This window comes from Homo sapiens, chromosome 17 (genome assembly GCF_000001405.40).
Source record: "Homo sapiens chromosome 17, GRCh38.p14 Primary Assembly".
NCBI lineage: Eukaryota > Metazoa > Chordata > Mammalia > Primates > Hominidae > Homo > Homo sapiens.
In genome coordinates, this window is record NC_000017.11 from 48,009,090 (window position 1) to 48,026,166 (window position 17,077).

The 17,077-nt window shown below is 50.5% G+C and overlaps 1 long non-coding RNA gene across 1 annotated transcript, besides 6 other annotated features; it reads left to right on the plus strand.

The window, feature by feature from the left end:
* Window positions 1-2,288: 2,288 nt before the first annotated feature.
* On the plus strand, window positions 2,289-3,151 carry LOC124904017 (uncharacterized). Its single transcript, XR_007065826.1, has 2 exons — window positions 2,289-2,504; window positions 3,004-3,151. It is a non-coding gene; the product is annotated as an uncharacterized LOC124904017 (long non-coding RNA).
* Window positions 2,475-2,534: an enhancer, noted in NCBI's record as "active region_12321". NCBI's record gives its function as "activates an Ori minimal core promoter by ATAC-STARR-seq in GM12878 lymphoblastoid cells {active_cell/tissue: GM12878}" and the evidence as "EXISTENCE:reporter gene assay evidence [ECO:0000049][PMID:35858748]".
* Window positions 3,373-3,422: a silencer, noted in NCBI's record as "silent region_8646". NCBI's record gives its function as "represses an Ori minimal core promoter by ATAC-STARR-seq in GM12878 lymphoblastoid cells {active_cell/tissue: GM12878}" and the evidence as "EXISTENCE:reporter gene assay evidence [ECO:0000049][PMID:35858748]".
* Window positions 5,936-6,437: an enhancer, noted in NCBI's record as "H3K4me1 hESC enhancer chr17:46092391-46092892 (GRCh37/hg19 assembly coordinates)". NCBI's record gives its function as "activates a minimal SCP1, AML or CMV promoter by ChIP-STARR-seq in primed H9 embryonic stem cells {active_cell/tissue: H9 hESC(primed)}" and the evidence as "EXISTENCE:reporter gene assay evidence [ECO:0000049][PMID:30033119]".
* Window positions 6,438-6,937: an enhancer, noted in NCBI's record as "H3K4me1 hESC enhancer chr17:46092893-46093392 (GRCh37/hg19 assembly coordinates)". NCBI's record gives its function as "activates a minimal SCP1, AML or CMV promoter by ChIP-STARR-seq in primed H9 embryonic stem cells {active_cell/tissue: H9 hESC(primed)}" and the evidence as "EXISTENCE:reporter gene assay evidence [ECO:0000049][PMID:30033119]".
* Window positions 8,615-8,714: an enhancer, noted in NCBI's record as "active region_12322". NCBI's record gives its function as "activates an Ori minimal core promoter by ATAC-STARR-seq in GM12878 lymphoblastoid cells {active_cell/tissue: GM12878}" and the evidence as "EXISTENCE:reporter gene assay evidence [ECO:0000049][PMID:35858748]".
* Window positions 15,284-15,413: a silencer, noted in NCBI's record as "silent region_8647". NCBI's record gives its function as "represses an Ori minimal core promoter by ATAC-STARR-seq in GM12878 lymphoblastoid cells {active_cell/tissue: GM12878}" and the evidence as "EXISTENCE:reporter gene assay evidence [ECO:0000049][PMID:35858748]".

The window sequence follows — 17,077 nt, forward strand, 5'->3', positions numbered from 1 at the left end:
TGGGATGGTTTGAATGTTTTTCTATGGCTGCCATTTTCCAAAAAAGTCCCCAAAACAAACAAAAAAAAGATTCTTTTTTTTTTTTTGGTGATGGAGTCTCGCTCTGTCGCCTAGGCTGGAGTGCAGTGGCGCAATTTCGGCTCACTGCAACCTCCGCCTCCTGGGTTCAAGCAATTCTCCTGTGTCAGTCTCCTGAGTAGCTGGGACTACAGGCATGCGCCACCATGCCTGGCTAATTTTTGTGTTTTTAGTAGAGACAGGGTTTCACCATGTTGGCCAGGCTGGTCTCGAACTCCTGACCTCAGGTGATTCACCCTCCTCAGCCTTCCAAAGTGGTGGGATTACAGGCATGCGCCACCGTGCCTGGCCCTGTATTCAAGATTCTTATCAAGTCTACACTTTATTTTTATTTTATTTATTTATTTATTTTTGAAACAGGGTCTCACTCTGCCTCCCAGGCTGGAGTGCAGTGGCACCTTCCCAGCTCCCAGCCTTGACTGCCTGAGCTCAAGCCATCTTCCTACCTCAGCCTCCCAAGTAGCTGGGACCACAGGCAGCCATAACCATGCCCGGCCAATTTTTTATTTGTAGAGACAGGTCTCGCTATGTTGCCCAGGCTGATAAACTTTATTTTTATCTTTTTTAGAGATGAGATCTTGCTGTGTTGCCCAGCCTGGTCACACACTCCTGGACTCAAGTGATCCTCATGCCTCAGCCTCCAGAGTAGCTGGAACTACCAGCACAGGCCACCTACTCAGCCCCAAGTTTCCTCTATAGATGCAGCCAGACTCATTCATTCAAAAGCAAGCCATCCTCATAGTCTTTGCTCATGCCATTCCCTTTTTCACTTCACTTCATTCCACCCCTCACTTCCTTAAAGACCCAGGCTCTGTGGCCCCTTTTGCGGGGGACCCCTAGCTCCAAGTCCTGCAATCCCTCCCTTGGAGCTGAGCGTTGAAGCATCTGGCATTTGACTATTCATTTGGCACTTGGCATACGATTCCTTAGGTGATTTGTAATTTTTAATGCATCTACTGTTTCTCATCAGAAAGACTGTAAACCTTTGAGAGCAGAAGTCATGTTTATATCTCTTGCTACCTTATATTTAATGTAATGCCACATACATAGTTGGAGTGCAATGCATATTCAGTGCTGGTGATCATGGGATGTGTTTGAAAAGGATCTATAACCAAGTAACAGCCAATGTGTATTGGGCACATAATAATCATTATACACAATGCTATACACTTTATATGGATTATGTCATTTGTCCTTTCTACAACCCAGTGATCTACGGACAACTATAGTCCCATTTTACTGATGAGGAAACTGAGGCTTAGAGAGAGCTAAGTAATTTGCCCATGGTCATCCAGCTCGTAGGTGGAGAAACCAGAATTCAATCCAGATGGTTTGATTCCAGAGCCACCACTCTCAACCACCGTGCTATGACCACATTTGAAGAGAATAATCCCTCCATCCCAACACTGTAAATGATAATTAAATATAATAATTGTGATGCTGCTGATAATAAATAAAAATCTTCCGTGGAGAGTGGGGCTCTGATCTGCTCCACGTTTTTGTTTGTTTGTTTGTTTTTTGAGATGAGGTCTCACCCTGTCACCCAGGCTGGAGTGCAGTGGCACCATCTCTGCTCACTGCAACCTCTGCCTCCCGGTTTCCACCGATTCTCCCACCTCAGCCTCCCGAGTAGCTGGAATTACAGGCGCATGCCACCACACCCGGATAATTTTTTGTATTTTTAGTAGAGATGGAGTTTCACCATGTTGGCCAGGCTGGTCTTGAACTCCTGACCTCGAGTGATCCATCTGCCTCGGCCTCCCAAAGTGCTGGGATTATAGGCATGAGCCACTGTGCCCCACCATCAAATAGGTTTTTTTGGTGTCCAATAACTTCCCTCTTGCAAAGCTCTTCAGATGTAGAAATGCACTTCTTTCTTGTACAAGAAGGTAAAATGAGCTGCATAGTCAAATGTTAGAATTTGGCTTAGGCTTTAAAGGGGTATTTCTTTTCTTTTCTTTCTTTCTTTTTTTTTTTTTTTGTCAAGGGATAGTAAAGAGGAAGCCTCTAACCTCAAAGCAGCCTAAGTTTTACAGACCTTCTCCTGTGTTTCTGAATCCCAGGCCTGACCAGAAATCGGTAATTTTCAGTTTGCACTCCACATTCCTAGTGGGCTGGAGCTGAGGATTTAGTGGGGAGGGTAGAAAAGGGGTGGGGTTGTGTTTTCTCACAAACTGGGTCGTCAAATTTGAGTTTCCAAGGGGGCTCTCAGTTCCCCCATGACTCTAGAGAAGGAAAAATAGAAAGCATTATAGGTGTTCAGACTGGTCACAGAAGACATCTTCGCAAGGCAGTTCCTATCACAGCCAGCTGATGTCACCAACGGGGCATGGGGGAGATGGAGGAAAGAAACAACAGAAGAGACGAAGAGGAAGGAGGGACGACGGAGCAAAAGTGAAGACATGATATACGGCCGAGGACATAGGGTGAGAGGAAAGAAAAGAAAAGGGTGGAGGAAAGAGAGAGGAAGGAGAATTCGAAGCATAGGCTTTTGCCTACTTCCCTTCTCCCGTCCCTAACACACGGATGAGAGCTTCTCGCCTCTTTCTATATCCAGAAAGTATGGAGACCCCTCACTCTCCGACCTCGGTGCTATCTCCAGGGCCCAGAGGGGCAAACTGGGGAGGGGAGGGGAGACTTGTAAACATGAGTGCAATTTTCCTCTGGTTTCCCCAGAAGTTGCCCGTTTCCTGGGCCATTCCTCTCCAGGCAGCCCTCGGGAGTTCCCGCCGCACCGACCCCAGCCAGGCTCCAGCGGTCCCCTCTCTTCCATCCCGCCATCTCTCTGAGGGGCTTGCGTCTCCCTGATGCGCTCTGGTGTCTGTCTGAGCCATCCATCAAGGATGGCAGGCTGGGGGAAACATGAAAAAGAGCCTATTTGGCTATTAACATCCCCTCCCGCTTTGTTGTCTCTCTCCTCCCCAGTCCCCTACCAGCCCCTCACCCAACCCCTCCCTTTTCCCCTTTTGCAGGAGACAAAACCAGACTGACAAGCTGAAGACTCAAACATTAATCAAACTGCGCTCCGGAACAACCTTTCCCTCGCATTAATAAATACATTTGCGGCCCCTCATTGGACAGTTGGCCTAATTTGTTTCTTTTTCGCGGGGTGGGGGGAGCAGCCGCGCCCGCGCCCCCTGGCTCCCAGCAGCCCTGTGCAAAGCAGATGTTCCGCCGCAGACGCGGAGCTGCGCCTAGCCGCGCGCCCCGGAGGCCGCGGTTGCCATGGCGACGGCGGGGCCGCCTGCTGTCGCCGAGCACGCTGTCTCGCCCGCTCAGTGATTACCTCCATCTCCGCAGTGTTCGCCATACGGCCCGGATTCTAATCAGATCCCCTCCCCCCTCCCCCCTCCCTCCTCCGCCCGGCCCACTACCCCTTCAGCTCCCACAGCCTTGGGACTCATTGAGAACTGCCCGCGCATCCCTGACGGTGCCCAGGAAGGCAGAGTGGGGGAGAGACGACCCGCACTCAGCCTGTGTTTAGGGAGGACTGGACCCAGTGCGGTTCGCAAGAGGTTCTGTGTCCCCAGGCCATCTTTGGTGACATTGAACCCCGGGAGTCCAGCTCCCAGCACTGTCCCCTGAAGACTCCTCCTCCTCCCCCTTGGTATGTTGAGGCAGGTCACCTGAGGTCCCCAAGAGAGGTAAGGCAGGCAACCATAGTTCCCCTTCCATCTGGACAAGACTCTTCCATTCCCGTTCTGTAAGTGCTGGGAATGATTTCATCTGCACAGCCTGGAGGTGGGCAGGGTTTCTGGAACCATCAGAGCATCAGCCCAAGCCATGCTTCTTGTGCTAAACGCAGTGGTTTCTCAGACTAAAGGGAGGAGTGGAGAAGCACAGGTCTGGTACTCTAGCCACTCAGGCCTGGCCTGAGTTAGGCCCATGGTTATTTGACCCCCTCCACATCACACACACACTATGCTTTCCATGCTTCCAGGCTGAGGGTGGTTTTTTATAGGTGGTCTCAGATGTACCCCCGGCTGGCAGCCTTGCAAGGGATGCACTGCGAACCCTCTCCGGACTTAGTAATGAACAAGGGGCAGTGCGATGCCTCGGGGCCTTGGGGTACCTGGCTGTCTTTCTGTTAGGGGAGGAGGGTCCTTTCCCTGAGACTCTGAGGCTTCACTATAAGATCCCAAGCATAAACATCCCTGGCTTTAGGAGAAACGAGGTAATAACAGAAGCCAGAGGCAAGAGAGCACAGAGAGGTTGGGAGTGAGGCCGGCAGGGAAGAAGGCAGATTTGGGACAGGAAGATGAGATTCTGGGTTCAGATTCCACCTTCCAGCCTAAATCACAAGGCAGGAAGCCTGAGGTGGTTGGCGTAAAAAATAATTTTGCTCAAGGGGAGGAACCCTTTGGAGTGACGAAAAGTAGAAACACTCATGTTCCAGAAGTGTTACCAATGCCAGGGAAAGCTTGCTTAAACACTCTCACAACATCCCAAATGCCAGCCTCCTTCCAATGTTCGCCGGAAAGTTCTGAGCCGTATTAGCAAATAAGAAGAAATGCCAGGCTGAGCTCTCTCTCCGAGGCTACTAAGAATCCTCATGCTAGAGCTGCAAGGGCCTTTAGAGATCTGGACCGATCCTTCATTTTACAGATGAAAAAACTGAAATCCAGAGAGGAATGACAACTGGCCAAGATCCCACAGCTAGAAATAGTGGAACCAGGTTTTTATTTCTGCAATAGTGGCCACTGTTCTGCCCTCTTTCCTCTCTCAGAGGCAACCAGCTGGGAAACTCTGGTTTCCAAGTCCTCTCTCAGAGGCAACCGGCTGGGAAACTCTGGTTTCCAAGAGGCACAGACAGAATCCCAAAAATCTCAGGCCTTTCCCAGCCCCTAGTCACCCTGCCTCCTGAAGGCCTGTCACCTACCTGAAGGCAGCTCCACTAGAGTGACAGCTCCTGTTGGCCCTGGCTGGCTCAGGGCCTCTGGGGAGGGTATGGGGGGATGGTGGGTTGGGAGAGAACTTTTGTGGGGCCTCCTTCAGTCAATGGTCTACAGCTCTGTCTTTGTCTGTCTGTCACTCAGAAGGGAACTGCTGAAGGGAGAGGTCAGGCTGGTCGGTAGAAAGGGAGAAAGAGGCCTATCCCTGTCAGAGAGGGGTTGGGAAGAAGGCAGGCAAGGGGACCGAAGCTCCTTCAACCTCCTCATCCTCTCCCACTCCAACTCCTGGGCTGTTTCCCCTAGGGAATTCCAGGCTTTGCTCATTTTAGGACCAGGGCAGCAACTGCACACAAAGGCCCTTCTCTTCTTGCCGTGTGAAATCCTGGCTCCCCATTGGAGAGCTACTCCCTTACCCTGCCCTGTCTGCAAGAAGAGGCTGCCAAGGGGTCTAACTCAAACCTACAAGGCAGGGAGTTCCATTGCGTTCCCCTTCCATGCAACCAGCACCCTGACTCCACCCCTGTGCTTGCCCGTGTCCCTGCTCGCGCCTGCCACATCAGATTCCCCAGGCTCCCTCACCCCCCCGTGCAATTTAAAGCAGATTCATCCCCTGAGAGCCCCAGTTTCCAGGCCACCCTAGCTTCTACTGTACACTATCCTATCTCCCCAGATTGTGCTGTTTCCAGTCTCCCCTTGTTCCCTCTGCACACGAATCTTCCTCCCCAGATTCAACTGTTTTCAGGCTACTCCCTCTGTCTGCCCCCTGTACACGACTGTCTCCCCAGATCCTGCTGTTTCTAGGTTCCCCCATATTTCCCCGGTATACAAATTGGCCTCCCTGGATTCAGCAGTTTCCAGAAGCCCCTTGCTCTCTCACTAGGCAGTTCCATCTCCCCAGATTCAGCTGTTTTCAGGCTCCCTTCATTTGCCCTGTACACAGGTACCCCTCCCAGGTTCTGCTGTTTCTAGGCTTCCCGATTTCCCTTGTATACGCATCAGTTTCTAGCTTATGTTGATCCCAGCTGCCTAAGGGATTCAGCAGGTTTAGGGAGAGTGGAAGGAAGAAGAGAGTCAGAAAGAGGAGGAGAAGAAAGATGGTCATCAGGGAAGCTCCGGATTTCTCTTGTGACCCTAAGCAGCTTGCATATGACAGCCTCTGGGCCTCTGCCTCTACAAATAGGTCCCTTAAGGCCATCTGCCCTGGGATACCCCAATCCCCTCCCCATTGCTGCTGCCCAGGATCTGAGCTTTAAGTTGGACATCCTCCGGAGGGCCCCCGTCTTGGCAGGAGTGCTTATGCTTGCATGAGGTGGGACAGGCAAGAGCCTTCCCAAGCCAGGAGTTCCCTTGTCTCTCCTCTGCTATTTCCTTCTTGCCTTCCCAGCACCCACGCCCGCCCCCTTTTTTTTTTCTTTTTGAGTTGGAGTTTCACTGTGTCGCCCAGGCTGGAGTGTAGTGGCGTGATCTCGGCTCGCTACAACCTCTGCCTCATGGGCTCAAGCAACAATCCTGCCTCCGCCTCCGGAGTAGCTGGGACTACAGGCGTGTGCCACCATGCCTAGCTAATTTTTGTATTTTTAGTAGAGACAAGGTTTCACCATGTTGGCCAGGCTGGTGAACTCCTGACCGCAGGTGATCCACCTGCCTTGGCCTCCCAAAGTGGTGGGATTACAGGCGTGAGCCACTGTGCCCACCCCCACCCCTTGTCTCTTTCTCATGTGTTGCACCTTAGCTCTCCTCAATTTATCCACATACAATTTATTTTATTTTATTTATTTATTATTTTTTTTTTGAGATGGAGTCACAAAGTGCTGGGATTATAGGCGTGAGCCACCACGCCTGGCCTTTTGTTTTATTTTTGAAACAGTCTTACTCTGTCGCCCAGGCTGGAGAGCAGTGGCATCATCTCATCTCACTGCAACCTCTGACTCTGGGGTTCAAGTGATTCTCCTCCTTCAGCATCCTGTATCCACATAGAATTTAAAGGAAACTCCAAATGCACTCCCAGAACTAAAGGGAGTACAGAACTAAAGAGTCACACTTTTTTTTTTTTTTTTTTTTTTTTTTTTTTCAGTTTTCAAGATGGAGTAGTATCAATCTCAGGCCCTGGAAACTGCCCCTGGACTAGTTTCCTGGCATGCTTCTCCAGCCTTTGTAAACAACTGTTTCATCTGCAGACTCCCTGCATCCTAATCCTCCTTGGGGCTGGAGGTGGGAGGGTATGGGAAGTGTTCTGCAAGGTACTCCAGTCTTCTTATCTTCTCTGACTCATTTAGCTACTGCCTGCAAAGTTTCCACTGGAATCTGGGGAAATGGTCTGATCCCTCATCGCCTTCCTCCATATACAGCTGCCTACCCATTAGACTAATCCCAGCCATTTGTCAGTCACGATGCTCCATCATACTGGCCCCAGCAAACTTTCTGGTTTCACTAAGAAATAAATAGGAAGGGCAGGCCCACTGGGTCCAGGATAGTGCCCTACAAGGAGACCTTTCTTCAAAATGAAATCCATACCTGGGTTCAGGCCGCATTGCTTCTGCTCCCAGCACCCGAGAGCATCCTCAATCACCTCACAAGTGGGAATGACAACGCCTGCCTCCTTCACTGAGATAGAGGTACAAAAAAATTACATGTGTGAAAGAAATAGAATACTTTTACGGATCCTGACAAATGTGAGTTTACATAAATCCTATTAAAAGAACATTGTGCAAGAAGCTTTTCTGTGTCTTGTATATAAATTATCCTCAGAAAAGAAGTGCAGCTGATGGGACTCACTTATTAATTTCATTATTTAAAAAACAGACGTGCTGGGCGTGGTGGCTTATGTCGGTAATCCCAGCACTTTGGGAGGCCAAGGCGGGAGGATCACTTGAGGTCAGGAGTTTGAGACTAGCCTGGCCAATATGGTGAAACCCTGTCTCTACTAAAAATACAAAAATTAGCTGGGCATGGTGTTGTGTGCCTCTAGTCCCAGCTACTTGGGAGGTTGAAGCACGAGAATCACTTGAACCCAGGAGGCACATGCAGCAGTGAGTCAGGATGGCGCCACTTACTCCAGCCTGGGCGACAGAGCAAGATTCTGTCTCAATAAATAAATAAATAAATAAATAAATAAATAAATAAATAAATAAAATAAAAATTAGAAAACGCTATTGGAGCCAGCCATGGTGGCTCCCAGCACTTTGGGAGGCCGAGGTGGGCAGATTGCTTGAGCTCAGGAGTTCGAGACCAGCCTGGGCAACATGGTGAAACCCCGTCTCTACTAAAAATACAAAAATTAACCAGGCATGGTGGCAGGTGCCTGTAATCCCAGCTACTCAAGAGGCTGAGGCAGGAGAATTACTTGAACCTGGGAGGTGGAGGTTGCAGTGAGCAGAGACTGTGCCACTGTACACTAGCCTGGGTGATAGAGTGAGACTGTTAAAAAAAAAAAAAGCATGCAAAGAAAAATGTGCATTGGGGTTTTGAGTCAAGAGCCCTGCTATTTTTTCTTACTGCCCAGGAAGGCACTCCTTGTCAAGGGAATTCTATTTATAAACGTTATATTCTCATGATCTGCAGAAAACACAGGGCAGAAAGAGGAAGAGGTAAGAGGGTTCCAGGAAACCCTCTTTCTTGTCTCAGTTCTGTCCCTTGTTAGCTGTGTGACATTGGGTAAGTCAACCTTTGAGTTTCACTTTCCTAATCTGAAGGCCTCTAGCTTGCTCTCCCAGAAAGATCCACTTTTTTTTTTCTACCTTAGAGTATAAACTTCAGTCAGTGCCCAAGCCCCTCAGACCCCTTCCTCAACCTCCCAGCTACCTTGGGGAATGGGTCCAAATCTCCAGAGTTGGAGGAAAAGGTCTGTATTTGTTTTCTGTTTGTTTGTTTGAGACAGAGTCTCACTCCATCACCCAGGCTGTAGTGCAGTGGCGCAGTCTCGGCTCACTGCAACCTCCATCTCTTGGGTTCAAGCAATTCTCCTGCCTCACCCTCCCGAGTAGCTGGGATTACAGGCATGTGTCACCATGCCCAGCTAATTTTTGTATTTTTAGTAGAAACAGGGTTTCACCATGTTGGCCATGTTGGTCTCGAACTCCTGACCTAAAGTGATCTGCCCACCTCGGCCTCCCAAAGTGCTGGGATTACAGGAGCGAGACACCATGCCCAGCCAGGTCTGTATTTCTTGACAGTGTTTCTTGATCAGAGGCCCTGTTTTCTCAGGACAATTGCTGTCCCAGGTGCCCAGGGTCTCTCACCTTCGTGTTCCCATGGAGGTGCTCACAGCTCTGATGTGGGAACCCCCAAGGTTCTCCTCTGTGGTCTAGGGAGTATCTAGGAATGGACTGCAATGCTCAGCACTGTGAGATAACTCCTGCCCAATAGAGAGTAGAGATGCCCTCTAGGTCTGGTTCCTGCAAGCCTTTTCATAGTCCCGTCACTGATCCCGGCCAGGCTAAGGATGAAAGAGGGGCTTGTCTTACAGCACCATCTTCTGGGCAAACCTGTGAGAGCTACTTCTTCTTGCTGCCATCTGGAGAACACTGAGATTTTGGGGGACTTTGGGTCCCAGAAGTTTTGTTTGTTTGTTTGTTTGAGATGGAGTCTCGCTCTGTCACCCAGGGCTGGAGTGCAGTGGTGCGATCTTGGCTCACTGCAACTTCCATCTCCCGGGTTCAAGCGATTCTCCTGCCTCAGCCTCTGAGTAGCTGGGACCAGAGGCGCACGTCACTATGCCCAGCTAATTTTTGTATTTTTAGTAGAGACGGGGTTTCACCATGTTGGTCAGGCTTGTCTCAAACTTCTGACCTCGTGATCTGCCCACCTCGGCCTCCCAAAGTGCTGGGATTACAGGTGTGAGCCACCACGCCCGGCCGATTCCAGAAGTTTTTATCTTACCTGTTTCCCCAAGATAAATTAATTCTGGACTTTTCCAGCCATCTCTTAGGAGAGGATGTTCCAAGAGCCCTCCAACCTTCCAAACACAAGGCTGCTAGGAATGGTAAGCAGCTGAAACCAGTCTTCCAATCATTCCACCCAGAACCTGAGTCCTCACCTACTCACCCCATATATCCCCACCCCAGAACACCCTGTCACTCACTAAGAAGCTGTTGTCTGGAAGCAAGGTTATAGCCTCATCACTTCCAGAGTTTTCTTCTATCCTCAAGTTTATTTGTTTGTTTGTTTCAGATGAGGGCTCACTGGCAGCCATGAGAGTAAAACACATATTTTCAATCTCTTAAAAATCAGGTGTCTGGATTGGCTGTGATGGCTCATGCCTGTAATCCCAGCACTTTGGGAGGCTGACTTGGGTGGATCGCTTGAGTCCAGGAGTTCAAGACCAGCCTGGGCAACATGGCAAAATCCTGTCTCTACAATAAACAAAAAATTAGCCGGGTGTGGTGGCATGTGCCTGTAGTCCCAGCTACCTGGAGGTTGAGGCTGCAGTGAGCCATGATCACGCCACTGTACTCCAACCTAGGCGACAGAGCAAAACTCTGTCCCTTAGGAAAAAAAAAAAAGGCTAGGCATGGCGGCTCAATCCTGTAATCCCAGCACTTTGGGAGGCTGAGGCAGGAGGATCACTTGAGCCCAGGAGTTTGAGAACAGCCTGGACAACAAAGTGAGACCCCCATCTCCCTACCAAAAAAAAAAAAGCAAAAAAAAAAAAAGCAAGGTGTCGTGGTGTGCACCTATAGTCCAAGCTACATGGGAAGCTGAAGTAGGAGGATCACTTCTCCCCAGGAAATCAAGGCTGCAGTGAACCGTATTCATGCCACTGCACTCCAGGCTGGGTGACAGAGCAAGACCCAGTCTCAAAAAAAAAAAAAAAAAATCAGATGTCTAGACAAAGAGAAATTGTGGATCTGGTCAAATGGAATCAGATCCCTCTTGCTACTTCTTTTTCTTTCATTTGAAGTGTATGTGTCTATTTTCAGAGTGGGGTACGTGAGAGTGATAAGAGGGCACTAAATATATAAGATATAAAGTAGACTTGTGTTTTTTTTTGTTTGTTTGTTTTTTGTTTTTTTGAGACGGAGTTTCGCTCTTGTTGCCCAGGCTGGAGTGCAATGGTGCAATCTCAGCTCACTGAAACCTCCACCTCCCGGGTTCAAGCAATTCTCCTGCCTCAGCCTCCCGAGTAGCTGGAATTACAGGCACCTGCCACCATGCCTGGCTAATTTTTTTTTTTTTTTTTTTTGTATTTTTAGTAGAGACGGGGGTTTCACCATCTTGGCCAGGCTGGTCTTGAACTCCTGACCTTGTGATCCACCTGCCTTGGCCTCCCAAAGTGCTGGGATCACAGGCATGAGCCACCGTGCCCGGCCGACTTGTTATTTTTAAACATACTTTTCAGAACCTAAATATTCAGATCATTGTCCCTGACAAAATGGTCCTTTTGGAGGGCCTTTTTTGGAATGATTGCCTGCAATTATCTGAATTAATTCAAGCACCAACTCTTCAAATTCTGAGAGTGGACTTGATTTTTGCAAGCTGCTTGGTGAGTAAGATCAGCAATCAAGCTGGGTGGTACTGTTTTAGATCAAGAATGAGAAGTGACTGTAATGAAAATATTTCGTTTTGGGGGTCATAAATTGACCCTGAATTCCTGTTCTCTTCTTTAACCCAGGTTCCATGTTGCTAGCAGAGTTCCTCCCTCAAAACATAGAGCTGATATCACTTAACAGCTTGAAAATCTTCAGTGGTTCCCTATTACCTTCAGAACACAGGCCAAGTTCTTTACTGACTTTTTGTTTTGTTTTGTTTTGTTTTTTTGAGATGGAGTTTCGTTCTTGTTGCCCAGGCTGAAGTGTAATGGCACGATCTTGGCTCACCGAAACCTCTGCCTCCTGGGTTCAAGCGATTCTCCTGCCTCAGCCTCCCGAGTAGCTGGGATTACAGGCATGCACCACCACACCCTGCTAATTTTGTATTTTTAGTAGAGACAGGGTTTCTCCATGTTGGTCGGGCTGGTCTCGATCTCAGGTGATCCACCCACCTTGTCCTCCCAAAGTACTGGGATTACAGGTGTGAGCCATGGCGACTGGCCACAAGCCAAGTTCTTTAGCTCTGTGGTTGGGGTAAAGAAGAGCCAGCAATGGAGTCAGACCAGAATGGGTTTAAATCCCACCTATGAGCTCTGAGGCAAGTTATTCAGTCTCTCAGACTCTCAGCTCTCTCATTTGTAAAAAGAAGGCTAACGGGCCAGGCGCGGTATACCCAACACTTTGGGAGGCCAAAGTGGACAGATCGCTTGAGCTCAGGAGTTTGAGACCAGCCTGGGCAACATGGTGAGACCTCGTGTCTATTAAAAAATTTTTAAAAATTAGCTGGGTGTGGTGGTACATGCCTGTGGTCCCAGCTACTCGGGGGACTGAGGTAAGAGGATAGCTTGAGCCCCGGAGGTTGAGGCTGCAGCGAGCCTATCAATACCTACTTTGTTAGGTTGTTTTGAGGACAATGGTAATTTTAAGGTGTATATAGTAGCAAACTCAATAAATAGCAGTCATTCTTCAGCATGGCATTCATTGCTCACTGCGACCCAGTTGCAACCTATCTAGAAGAAACCTCAGATCTCAACACACTCCCTGCAGACACACACCATTCCAGTTACATTTGCCTACTGAAATTCCTTAAACAATACAGAGATTTTTTTTCTTTTTCTTTTTTTTTTTTTTTTTTTTTTTTTTAGACAGGGTCTTGCTCTGTCCTCCAGGCTGGAGTGCAGTGGCATGATCTCAGCTCACAGCAGCCTCAGCCTCCTGGACTCAAGTGATCCTTCCACCTCAGCCCACGGTGCCCCCTCTCCCCCCAGTAGCTGGGACTACAGGCACACACCACTACACCCAGCTAATTTTTTTTTTTTTTGTAGAGGCAGGGTTTTGCCATGTTGCCCAGGCTGGTCTCGAACTCCCAGACTCAAGCAACCTGCCTGTCTCACCCTTCCTAAGTGCTGAGATTACAGGCATGAGCCACTGCGCCCAGCCTAAACGGAGATTCCTTACCTCTGGCCTTGCTTATGTTGTTGCTCCCTTTGGGGTGTCTCTTTCCCCATCTTCCTTCTTTACATGTTATGTAATACACCGTTTCCTCTGTGAATATTTATCATTTCCTTATCTGCATACATGACTTTGTCCCCAGCCAAATTGTAATCTCCTTGAGTCAGGAACTGTGTTTCCCAATTCATTTTAGAAGCTCCCAACAATCCCCAGCAAGGTACCTGGCCTGGAAACAGCCTGTTAGTAAATGTCTGTTGAACGAATTCATTCCAAAAGAGTTTATTTTATTATTATTATTAACGTTGCTTTTCTTACCAAAGGGTGCATTTTGAGGAATGGCGTTAATCTATATGTGCAGTATAAAATTTACATGTGTCTCACACTCTTATTTATTTAGAAACTCATCTAACATGTTTACCAGTTTCTGTTCATAGAGATGAGGAAGAGATTAGGAAACAGATGAGGACCATACACACATTGATGCTAGAATATAATTTGGCAGCCATTCGATTAATTTCTTTTTTTTTTTATTGAAGTATGACTTACCTACAGGAAAGAGCACATATCTTAAGTGTAAACTCTGTGACTTTTTTTTTTTTTTTTTTGAGACAGAGTTTCACTCTTGTTGCCCAGGCTGGATTGCAATGGCAAGATCTCGGCTCACTGCAACCTCCGCCTTCCGGGTTCAAGCAATTCTCCTGCCTCAGCCTCCCCCAGTAGCTGGGATTACAGGCACCTGCCATCATGCCTGGCTAATTTTTGTATTTTTAGTAGAGACGGGGTTTCACCATGTTGGTCAGGCTGGTCTCGAACTCCTGACCTTGTGATCCGCCCGCCTCAGCTCCCCAAAGTGCTGGGATTACAGGTGTGAGCCACTGCGCCCGGCCTGTGACTTTTTACTACTACTCAGATCAAGATAAAGAACATCATTTGATTTTTAAAGGCGTTTCTACTTTCAAATATCTCTTAAATCCCTTCCTGCCTTTTAACCTCCACCCTCACCCCACTACGGAGTCTAATCAGTCTCTCTCTTTCTTTCCCCAGTGCCTGGCTCATGGCAAACACTCAAATATTTGAAATAATGAATCAACAAACAAATATTGTTGAATGAATGAGACCTAAATTGGAAGGAAATGGAGGTCTGTAAGGTTGTGCCCAGACTGTTTTGGGTAAATTATTCAACATTACCTGCATCGGCCTCCAAAGTTAAAGGGTATCTAGTAGGAATTTAGAGGTAAGATTTTTTTTTTTTCCCCCGCTATATAGCAAAGTTTCAAAGGGTGGTTAAGGGCACAGAAAATTTGAGCCTCGGGCGGTGTCCTGCTCATCCCCCTGCACCCCACACCCAGGCCTGGCTGGCCCCACCCCCGCCAATCTTTGCAGCCCTGCAAAGCGCCCAGCCCGGCTGCGGTCCCGCCAGCGGGGAGCCATCCATCACCGCCTGAATGCCAGCCAACCCGAGCAGCCCCGCCTTCCTGCCAGCCAATAGCCGGAAGGCAGGGGGCGTGCGGGGCTCTAAGTGGTATAAAAGGGGTCCGAGGGCCAGGCCGCGCTACCTCTGCGCCCCCAGTTGGCTCTGCTTGTTGCTGGCGTCCTGTTCCGTGCCAGAGCCCCCGGGCCGGTGTTTCTGTGCGTGCCGTCTGGCTGGGCCCTGGCTCCTGGGGTCTGGGTTTCAGACGTGCCCCGGTGCCCATTCTGCTGGAGGAAAGAAGAGGCCCTGAGGCCCCCTTCCCTTATACACTTGGGGCCCGCAGGGTCGCCCACGAGGGCAAGGGGGTGGAGGAATGCAGAAAGATGCAGAGGGGCCCTGGGGATGGCAGGACACTGGAAGGCAGGCCCTGGCTGCTCTCCCGCACGGAACCGCCGGCCGCCCTTCCCGAAAACCAGTCCTCCGCGCTCCCCTCCGCGCCCGCCGGCTCCGGCCTGTGGCAGCGCTAATGAGGCAGTCTGGAGGAAGCCGGTGCCAGCGGGCAGGACTCTGGGCGGCAGGCCAGGCTTGTCATCCTGGCGGCTCTGCCGAGCTGCGGGCGCCACGTGGGAGCTGGGGGCACAGCAGCCGGCGGCCCTCCACCCCCAGCGGGGTCTCCGCCTCAGCCCCCGGAAAGCTGGGCCTGCAAACTCAGGGTCCTCTGGAAGGGGCAGCGCCCTTCCTTGCCGGCCCTCCCGGGTCCTCTGGCAGTGCTGCGCAGCCCGCTCTGCGCTGTCCTCTCCGCCGCGGCGTGGGTCCGTCGGCTGCTTCGCAGCCGCGCCGCTCCCCACAATCCCTCAGCCATCGCGGGCGAGGACACCTTTCCGGTCGCCTCTCGGCATTGCCATGCCCCCTCAGCCCCTTCCTTTTAACCTAGTACGGTTACTGTGTGGGCCAGGGGTTCGGATGGGCCTAGGGCAGGGATGCGCGAGAAAGCCACTTGTCCCCAGCAGTTCCCCATCCGGAGCCCCGCCCTGCGAAAACTACACCAAACACGTCAACCTGAGGCTCAGTGTTCCCTTCCGTAAAATGGGGAGAGCATCGCGTAATTCACAGGATTCGGTGAGCCAGTTTGTGTGAAGGGCCCAGCCTCCTGCCTGTCCCTTTACATTCCCGTCCCTGCTACATTGGAATAGCAGGGCCGAGGCGGGCGCGACCGCGTTGCTAAGAAGCGCATTTGCCCGTCCCTCCTTGCGGTCGCTTAAGGGTGGTGGAGGAAGCCAAGCCCTGGGTGTGGCCGCATATTTGCCAAAATATTTCTGGAAAATGTCTCCTTTCTTGTCGCCATACTAGCCCCTGAACTCCACGGAATTTAACCGAATACTCTTTTTTTTTCTCCCCTTCCAAGAGTTGCCATTTTGCATTATTTACTGGGACGGGTTACGTACTCAGCGCTTACAATGTAAATGTTTACATAACTATATCATTTTCTCTAATTGCAGAAGTAGTCAAGCCCGTTATAAATGTCCAATCTTAAACAGTTTTATAATGTAGGACTTGAAAGCCGCAGGGACAACTTCTATTAAGGTCCACGGCTCGCCACTTTCCCTCCTTCGCTGAAATTCCTGTGCCCACGCTGGCGCAGCACTAGCAGGGTGGGTCACGCGTGCAGGTTGCTAGGGCAACGTCCTGTCGCCGGCGTCGGAAACCAACCAGTAACTCTCAGGAGCCGGAGTCGGGTCCGCCCTGGGGGCGGAGTTAGTCAGCAGGTCGGTCCGGCGGGAGCGCGTTTCCTGCCGGTCCCTGCAGGTGGCACCATAGGATCGCGGATGCTTTCCTGGGGCGGGGCTTTCCTGGGGCGGGGCTTCCCGCAGTGCTCAGCGCACTCCAGGGGCGGGGCCGGGGTGGAGCCGGGGTGGAACGTGAGCCACCAGCTGCAGTCCGCAAAGGATCGAGGGAAACGAGCTGTCCCGGGACGCAACGCTAGACAAGCTCAGGGACGCATTTACAGGGACGCAGAAAGTGTACGCGTCAGAGAGTGGAAAGGAGAAAACAGGTTCTGGGACGGCGACAGAGAAGGGAAGTCGTGTCGCCCAGAAAGGCTATACAATCTCCACCCTTCCCGTTTGTCCCTGCGACACCCTTTCACCCTCCTGTCCCTCCGGACCTGCAATTCTTCACACCCTCTGCAGCGCACAGGGTGCTCAGGACACATGTGCACGGTGGGGGCTGGCGATGCTTCCTCGCCCCCACCACCCGCAAGCTTGCAGAGAGCTGTAGTGCCCAGGATGTATGCCAGGATAGGAATTCCACGGTTCCAGGCATGCCAAGAAAAATAGCCATGCTGTTTCTCGGTTTGTTCAGAGGAAGCCTTACCTCTCTTCCCTTCTGGAGTTTGGGAATGGAAAAAATGACTCAAGGAATCCCCAGCGGAGCTACCATGTATGTACTGCATTGCAAAATAGGGGTACCATATTTTGCTCTCCCCTACCTGGCAGTATGCGCCACACATGGGGCTCCGTGGTATCAGCGTCGCACCCCCTCATGGTGTTAAATAGTCCCCTTTCCCTTGTCCCACATCTCTGCCCAATCACACAACCACAGGGACACGCCCCACCCTGGTACTGGATATCCCCACGATGAGCCACAGAAAGTGCAGGAGCCCTTATATGAACACACACACACACACACACTTCCTAGGCCAAGAGAGAAGGAGACCC